General features: G+C 45.4%; 1 annotated feature.

Annotated features, from left to right (window-relative positions):
- Positions 7,237-8,436: an enhancer, noted in NCBI's record as "BRD4-independent group 4 enhancer chr16:17156208-17157407 (GRCh37/hg19 assembly coordinates)". NCBI's record gives its function as "activates an origin of replication core promoter dependent on BRD2, P300/CBP, MED14 and CDK7 cofactors, and independent of BRD4, by STARR-seq in HCT116 cells {active_cell/tissue: HCT116}" and the evidence as "EXISTENCE:reporter gene assay evidence [ECO:0000049][PMID:35650434]".

The raw sequence follows: 9,524 nt of genomic DNA, 5'->3' as shown, positions 1-9,524 counted from the left end.
CGCAAAACTTATTGGGGTTGGATTGGGGATAAAATAAGCAGTAGGGCCCGGCACAGTGGCTCACGCCTGTAATCCCAGCATTTTGGGAGGCTGAGGTGGGCGGATCACAAGGTCAGGAGTTCGAGATCAGCCTGACCAACATGATGAAACCCTGTCTCTACTAAAAATACAAAGATTAGCCAGGCATGGTGGTGAGCGCCTGTAGTCCCAGCTATTCAGGAGGCTGAGGCAAGAGAATCACTTGAACCCGGGAGGCGGAGGCTGCAGTGAGCTGAGATCACACCACTGCGCTCCAGCCTGGGCAATAGAATGAGACTCTGTACCAAAACAAATAAATAAAATAAAATAAGCAGTAGTTAACCCAACCCCAGACTCAGTCCTTTGTTCCTGGTTCCAGCTACCTCTGCCTCTCCCGCCAGACATGCGAGCACTTGTGAGTCTGTCCTCGCTGGAATGTTTAGCGTTGCACCGCCATCTCCTAGATGTGGGTACTACACACTAACAGTATTCAAGCAAGGCTAGCAGGGACATGTGAACGCCATTTATTTGATCCACTTCTCTATCTCCACACCCAAAGATGACATAATTATGCCAGCCCACTTGGTAGATCCAGCCAATTCCCTAAAGACCTCCAGGAAAGGAATTCCATGTTGCCACAAGCCTGAAAACCAGAAAGCTGTCTTGCTGCAATTCAAACCAATTTGTTTGCAATTTTGATTATTAAATGGTCTGAAGTTAACTTTGTATTATAATATGAATTGTTCAACTCAAATTCTTTCTCAATTTTTTTTTAAACTATCTACCATGTGTTTTTGAGAACTGAAGGATTCCTTCTCTCTAGGAAAGAGAGAAGCAGATTTTGCTTTGCTAATAATTTGGGTTTCATTTTTATGACTAAGCTAAGCCCTTCCTGAGGGACTGGTAGTGGGGAGAAATTGACGTGTGTGTGTGCGTGTGTGTGTGTTGAGGGCTCAAGAACATAAAGGATATGGAAGAAACTTGAGGTTAATTTAAAAAGAGGGGAAAAGTAGAAAAAACACTGGATAAAGGCCCTAGATGCCTTGAACCTAATCCCAAAAAGCTGTCTTCAGAGGTATAATGGGCACTGTAAAATCCCTCTTTATCACTCTGCTTCTCTGTGTACCCTTCTTTTGTTTGAAGCGTTTACCCACGTTGTGGCAGAAGCTTAAAACTTTCTTTCCTAGAAGCTTTTGCAGAGAGGGCAGAGGCGTGTGGCCTAGGGTCCACCATTCAGTCATATCTGTGTGAGACTTTTCCTCTAGTTCCCACACAGAATCTATCCCAGAGAGAGGAGCAGTAGGAATGTCCAGCTTCCAGAGATAACAAAGGCAGAGATCCCTGCAATAGCATCCCATACCCAGTGCTGGTTCCCAGAATGCAGTTCCTGGCCCAAGATATCAGTAGTGGGAATTCCACCAGCACAGGGCTTCAGCGATGTCCCTGAATCCACGGCCTCTAAGCCAGGTTTCTCTGGAGATTCTCTGAGTGTCTGCAACAAATATCCTTTAGTAAGAATCTATATGTGTGTGTGTGTGTGTGTGTGTACAAGCATACATGTGTGTGTGTATGAGAGAGAATAGAGAGATTACCAGTGGTTATGGTTTTAAGTAGATGAAACCAGCCCAAGGAGTTCCCTAGAAAGAGAATACACATCAGTTCCCTCATGACCCAGGGTTCCAGCTCTTATCCAAGAGACCACGTTTGGGATTATTTTTGACTTCATAACCAACCAAGTGTTATTCTGCCACCATGACTCAAACTAACAGTTAAACTGAATTTGATGAAGGCTTGCTTCTTGGGGATAAGGATTTTCTGGCATTCCTGGAACTTGAGTTTAGCCTTGAGTTGGGTTCAATTATATGCTCCTTGTCCCAGACTTGATGACTTGACTGATTGGACCCAAGGCTCTCCCAGCACCCTGCATGTCTGTCTGTGTCTATCAGCTCTTGCATAAGGCAGATTCTGTTGATGTGTATGGTGCAAGAGGGATGGAATAATGCACTTGATGGGAATGCCCCGCCATCATACTTTGCCCATTGTGAGTAACTTGAGCGTAGACAACTTTCAGCTTCAGAGGAGAGCTGCTCATGTGTGTCAGCCACACACAGGCACAGAGACAGAACACACCCTTCTGCTGTCTTCCAACTGAGATCTAAGATGCAGCAGATGACTTGGCAGAAATGGAACTTGGGTCTTCTTTTTTCTTTTTTTTTTTTTTTTTTTTGAGATGGAGTTTCGCTCTTGTTGCCCTGGCTGGAGTACAATGGCACAATCTCGCTCACTGCAACCTCTGCCTCCCAGGTTCAAGCGATTCTCTTGCCTCAGCCTCTTGAGTAGCTGGGGTTACAGGTGCCCACCACCACTATGCCCAGCTAATTTTTGTATTTTTAGTACAGATGGGGTTTCACCATGTTGGCCAGGCTGGTCTCGAACTCCTGAGCTCAGGTGATCCACCTGCCTCAACCTCGCGAAGTGCTGGGATTACAGGCATGAGCCACCGTACCCGGCCTGGGACTTGGGTCTTCTTAAAGCATCAGTAACACTGGACAAGGTCATAGCCGATAGTGGTAATAGGCTCTGTGGTAGCCCAAAGGGAAGCTGTAAGCAACTCATTTCCTCATTAAACTAGCAAGTGATTACTGTTGCTGCCAGCTAAGAACACTAACTGATGCAGAAGGGCTTAGCTGCCTATTTTTGTAAATAAAGTTTTATTGAAACACATGCTCATTCATTTGCATTGTGTGTATAGCTGCTTTTGCATGACAACGAAAGAGTAGTTGCTCCAGGAGCCTAAAATATTCACTTTCAGGCTCTGTATTAGTCCATTTTGCATTGCTATAAAGGAATACCTGAGGCTGGGCAATTTATAAAGAAAAGAGGTGTATTCAGCTCATGGTTCTGCAGGCTGTACAAGAAGCCTGGCACCAGCCTCTGCTTCTGGTGAGGCCTCAGGAAGCTTTTACCATGCAGGAAGGCAAAGAGGGAACAGGCAAGTCATACGGTGAGACAGAGAGCAAGAGAGGGAGAGGAGGGGTGCCATGCTCTTTTTAACAATCAGATCTTTCATGAACTAATAGAGTTAGAACTCACTCAATGCAGGGACTACACCACGCCATTCATGAGGGACCCCTATGACCAAAACACCTCCCACTAGGTCCCACCTACAACACTGGGGATCGCATTTCAAAACGAGGAGACAAATATCCAAACTACAACAGGCTCTTTACAGAGAAAGTTTGTTGACCCCTGGTCTAGGGCATTGCCACTCAAAGTGTGGTCCCAAGCATAGCAACGGCAGCATGTAGAAGCTTATCAGAAGCGCAATGGGTCACACTCCATCCCAGATGTACTGAATCAGAATCTCTTTGGGGAGTAGGGGGTGAGAAGTGTGTGCATTAACAAGCTCTCTAGGTGATACATAAGCACACTCATGTTTGAGAAGCCCTGGGTTAGAAAGTGTGTCCTTCATACTGTATGGGAATCTGTCAACTTAGAGAAAACATGATGTTTCTAGGTTTTGCCTGAAACTACCCAAAACAAATCTAGTTCTTGCTTCCCTGATGGTCCCCAAGGGACCTGAAGGTGCTTCTTTTTCTTGGAGAGTCTTTACATTCTCCCTGATAAATAGACTCCCACAAAGGTTCTCCATCCATCCCTCCATCACTTTAATCTGGTTTCCTAAGATAGATACTTCAGTTTATCAGTGTTCCTCTCACTGGTGTTGCCTGAACTCTAAACCATAAAATACTTTTGCGGGACCACCGTTACGGCACTGTCTGGTGGTAAGTAAGTAGCAGAGTGCTTAACTACTGGGACCTCGGAATCAGACCGGTGGATTTATACCCTGGCCTTGCCCTATTAGAGGTATGTGACCTTGGCCAAGTTACTTAATCTCTTCCAGCCTATAAAAGGAGCATAATAATAACATCCCCGTTCATGGGACCATTATGAGAGTTAAATGAGATAATGCACAAGCATCTAGCTCTTGATAAATGTTCAAAGAGTGTTATTATTATTAACCAGTGGCCCATCACAAACATTGAGCCTGTTTAGTTACAGCTTTGTGGCAGCCAAAAAGGATGCAGTAAATGGTAGGCTGCCTTTGTACACAAGCCTTGTCTATGGTCATACCATCATGAAGGAAACCATCAGTTCTCTGTGTGCCCAGAAGGCTGTTTCCTTTCTATGACTTAAGTTTTCACTCATAATTACCTTTCCCTGGTTGTCATTCAGCATTTCAGTTCCATTTGACAGCTCAACAATTATTAAGTGCCTACTGTGTGTCAGGCACCACACCAAGCACCAGGTGGAGGTAACCAGAGGACTTTATTCTTGAGACTGTCTCAGTGTAGATCAATGGTTAGAAAAGGGGCCTTTGTAAAAACAACAACGGGTCAGGTGCGGTGGCTCACGCCTGTAATCCCAGCACTTTGGGAGGCCAAGGTGGGTGGATCACCTGAGGTCAGGATTTCGAGACCAGCCTGGCCCATATGGTGAAACCCCGTCTTTCCTACAAGTACAAAAATTACCCAGGCATGGTGGCAGGCACCTGTAATCCCAGCTACTCGGGAGGCTGAGACAGAAGAATTGCTTGAACCCAGGAGGCAGAGGTTGCATTGAGTGGAGATCACACCACTGCACTCCACCCTGGGGGACAGAGTGAGACTCCACCTCAAAAACAAAACAAAACAAAACAAAAACAAAACAAAAAACAAAACAAAACAACAAGGTCTTACGGAAAAATGCAGAAATGGGTGACGAATGACAGAATGCTCTGGTGGAAACCAGGAGAGAGTGTGAGCTCTACCCATTGAGCTTCCTTCTGAACCCCAACCTCATTCTTTGCAGAGAATCCTGAGGAACCCTCCCACAGCCGTAAGTATCTGTAGGACAAAAGTGGAAGACCACTGCTGTATGGTCTGCAGGGTATGGGATGTGGGAATAAGACAGGACTGTTTTTTATTTTTTTTATTTTTTAAACAGAGTCTTCCTCTGTCGCCCAGGCTGGAGTGCAGTGGTGCGATCTCGGCTCACTGCAACCTCTGCCTCCCGGGTTCAAACGATTCTCCTGCTTCAGCCTCCTGGGTAGCTGGGATTATAGATGCCTGCCACCAAGAACTGGGCTTTTAAAGCATTTCTTCCTAAGTGTTCTCTCTCTTGAGTTGAAGGGAACCCTTTCGGATTCTTCTCCACTTCTGTGTTTCTGTTTGCGAGCAAACTTACCTGAAAGGATTCTTTTGTATTTCCCTCCTTTTAATTTTTTAGAGACAGGGTCTTGCTCTGTCATCCAGGCTAGGGCACAGTGGCACAATCACAGCTCACTTTAGGCTTTAACTCCTGAAGACAAATAATCCTCCTGCCTCAGTCTCTCCAGTAGCTGGGACAACAAGCACCACCACATCTGGCTTTTTTTTTTTTTTTTTTTTGGAGAGATGGGGGTCTCACTATATTGCTCAGGCTGGTCTCAAACTCCTGGCCTCCAAAAGTACTGGGATTACAGGTGTGAGCCACCACACCTGGCCTGTTTTTCTCTTATCTTCCATTCCCTTCTGTGTCTCTTCCTAATACATTCTCCTACAACCCCCAGAGCCCAGAGGAGTTGAGAGGCAGGGAAGCTTCACAAGTCCAGTGGACATGTGTTGGGGGCATTTCTTCCCGCTTCCGCTCACAACACCTTAGTCATCCTGACAAGTACCGGGACCTTTCTCCTATTCTCAGACTACCATATTCAGATGGTGGTAACTTCGTTCACAACTCCAGGAAGGGGCATGTGACTACCTGGCCAATCAGAGCACCCCACATCCCCTGCCTCGGCTCAGTGATTGGTTTAGTTATGGGGAGGTGCTCCATTCAGAGATGGGACTACTGGGAGATAAGCAGAAGCTTTTCTTGGGGGCTGGAGTGGTGAGGGTACAAGCCTGACTGTCCCAGACTGTGGTGCAGAAGGGATCTACGTCCCAGACAAGCACATCCTCTGGGCTTTGTCACCACCTCATCCCACAGGGTGGGAGGCAGCTGGAGGAAGCCAGGGAACCTGACTGTCCAGTTCCAAGCAAGGTCCTTCACCAGGGTTCCACTCGATCAATATTTGTACAAACATTCTTAAAAAGACATGCCTCCTTAGCATTAAATATATCCAGTTTAGGAATGACAGGAGTGGCCTCTGAAGTCAAGCAGAACTGGTTTCCACTACTCCCGCCTCTGCCATCACAGGCTCTGTGAATTCAGGCAAGTCACTTTATGTCTTAGAGCCTCAGTTTTATCATCAGCAAATCAGGGTAGCATTTTTGTCATAGGTTGTTGTGAGAATTTAATGAGGTCATGAAAGTAATGTGCTTTACCATAACACCTGATTTTACATAAAATGATTAGTTAACATTTTAAAATACATTATTAGCTAAGAAAGAAAAGAAATAGAGAAGAAAAGAGAAGAGAAGAGAAGAGAAGAGAAGAGAGAGATCAAAAGTAGATATCCAGGCTCTAGTACAGTATGAATTTTCCACAGGCTTTTGGTGAATGCTGTAGTAGGTAGGAGAATGCGCAGCCAGTTTATTCTAGCATTTAGAAAGAAAAGGGATTGGGAGATGGGGGACAGTGATGACAGAAATACAGAACTTTAAGAAATGGCTTAAGACCTAGTCTTAAAAGAGCTGCCATTCCTTGACAGTAGCCATTTTACGCTTGACTGTCAGCTTTGACAAGCTGGAAGAGGCCAGTCTTTGCAGCCAGGCAGACAGTGTTGCTATCATATTATCATGCTATAAATTAGTATTTCAACATGAAACCGGTATTGAAATGCAGCTGAAATCAATTCTACCACTCCCTCTTCAGCCTTGTCTTGCAGTTACTGCCCTCTGATTCTTATTGAGCAACCAATGAACCCAACTGGCCTACCCTCCGTTTTTGTTGTCAGCAGGAGAAAAAAATAGGGAGGATTCTGTTGATTCTCAAATAATAACTCAAAACAATGGTATTGCTTGTGCCAGTGACTGGCTTTTTGTTGTTGCCGCTGTTGTTTTATTCTTGGTCATTGTTATTGGCTTCTATAGTAGACTCAAACAGTGTCTGAAATCTCACCCCCTTTTATTTCTCCTCTGCTTTGAAGGGAACCGCTATGCACAGCCCACCAGTGGGAGATCCCCTCCTTCCCCTATCATTTTATGCTACATTACAACAGAAGTTGCATGACTCCAAAGGATGCTTTTGACTTTAAAGTTCTTGTGATCTATTTGTGCAATACACATGTTAAATTAGAAATTCATTTGTCACTCCCAGATAATAATGTTCAGAATGGCGCTTCCTGCATGAATCATTATCTTCGGCCTGGAGTTGTTCTAATTATGAATATGCATGAACCCATAGAGAGGGGAAGAGAGACTTGCACAACCTGTTTCGTGGAGGAGCTTCAGATGGTTCAGCTTAATGTTCTGAGTTCGGGCTTCCAGAGCCAAGCCCAGTGTCTGCCTCACCACCCACAGCTCCTCCAGTCTTCCCAGAACACCTGCTTTCTGTTGACAGCAAGTGCCCTGTGACAGCAGGGAGCCCACGCAGTCAGAAATACGCCACTGCTTGTCCATTCATGGGATGTAAGGTAGACTCTGGGATGTAGAAGAGGGTCAGGAGGCAGCGGAAATGGAAGTGGCCTCACAGTGTCCTTCAGAAATTCCAGCTGGAGAACGGAGAAACCATGTGGAGATGCCTGCTGGCTCTGCCTTCAGGAAGCAGAAATTAGAATAAGCAGTCTAAAGAGTGATTAATTTCAAAGAGACAAATGTGTAAGCTGGCTGTGGTTATGGTGACTGAAGAAAGCTATCCCCATATGAGTGGCTGAATGTCAAATAAAGGAAAAGTGAGAACGTGTCGCTGTAACCGGAGCTTCCCTGGAATGCCATGACGGCTTGGCCACACCTGGATGATGTCATGGACGTAGGTCCCTTTCACAAAATGTAGGGTCCAGTCTCTAAGGCAGAATTTGTTTCCTGCTGTAAAGAATGATTCTTCAGAATATCTCATTCTCTTTGGATGGGTTTCATATTAGATCAAGGAATCTAGATGCTAACGCTCTCCTGTAGCCCTCTGCCACAAGATCATATTTGTTTATCAGCTACTCTGATCCAGGCACAGTGCCAGATATAATTACTCAAAGAAGATGATGTTCTTGCAATATATGAATGCCTCCACTCCCCAGTCAGAGAATCTATTGCTTTGGGAAGGATTGGGATAGTTGCAGCAGAAACACAAAGAGAATGGAGCAATGTCTACTTTTTGATTTCCAAAATAGGCTGTCAATGTCATCATGAGACAATAGTCCAGGCTTTCTTGAGAGAGAAAGGTATATTTCTAAATTCTAAAGCAACCCTTAGAGTTCTGAGCATAGAGACTTTCTACAAGGTGTAGGATAGAGATGATATAGAAGAAGGCAATAGGTCCTACCTGTTACAAAGAAGATAAGTAGTTCCAACCCTGGGTAAGGGGTGGGAGTCCAAAGGGGGAAAACCACAGGAGAAAGAAATTTTGAGGCTGGGCACAGCGGCTGTCACTTGTAATCCCAGCACTTTGGGGGCTGAGGCGGGTGGATCACCTGAGGTCAGGAGTTCAAGAACAGCCTAGCCAACATGGCAAAACCACATCTCTACTAAAAATACAAAAAAATTAGCTGGGCATGGTGGCATGTGCCTGTAGTCCCAGCTACTTGGAAGGCTGAGACACAAGAATTGCTTGAACCTAGGAGGCGGAGGTTGCATTGAGCCAAGATCACGCCATTGCACTCCAGCCTGGGTGACAGAGTAAGACTCCGATTAAAAAAAAAAAGACATTTTGAGAAAGAAAGATGAAGATACTGCTGGGTCCCTCAACCTGAAGTTGGAAACCCCAAATGGTATGACAGAAAGCTGGAATCCAAAAAGAAACTCCTTGCAACATTCCCCAAGCTGGTATGGAATGGCACTGGTCAGACAGCCATGGCTGAGGGACCTCACTGAGTCCCACCTGCTACAGCCTGGTACAGAAAGCCAGGGCTGTCACATACAGCCACATAGGATATGTCCTGCACAACCCTGGACTCCACCACAAAGACCAAAGGCCAGCAAACTTTTTCTGCAAAGGGCCAGACAGTAAATATTTCAGCCTTGCGGGCTATATAACCTTTGTCACCACGATCAACTCTGCCACTGTACTGCAAAAGCAGCCATAGACAATATGTAACTGAGTGGGTGTAGTTCTGTTCCAATAAAACTTTATTTACAAAGTCATGTGACAAGCAACCTTTGGGCCAATGTTTGCCAACCCCAAACATACATTAGGATGTTATGGTGTCTCCCCAACATAGCCATCCTGCAGAAAAACCTAACAAGATTCCCTGCCTCCTTCCTTTTAGAGGGGCTCAGAATTTCTGAGAGAATTGATAGAGCAGAAGAGGCCTGGCTTAGGGTGAGGAGATCACAGAATGAGGTAACCTTAGGACCAGAGCCAATGGCAGAGATCTATAATGTCAGCAGGGGCGA

This window comes from Homo sapiens, chromosome 16 (assembly GCF_000001405.40).
Source record: "Homo sapiens chromosome 16, GRCh38.p14 Primary Assembly".
NCBI classification, from domain to species: domain Eukaryota; kingdom Metazoa; phylum Chordata; class Mammalia; order Primates; family Hominidae; genus Homo; species Homo sapiens.
This window is presented reverse-complemented; position numbering and strand designations above follow the sequence as displayed.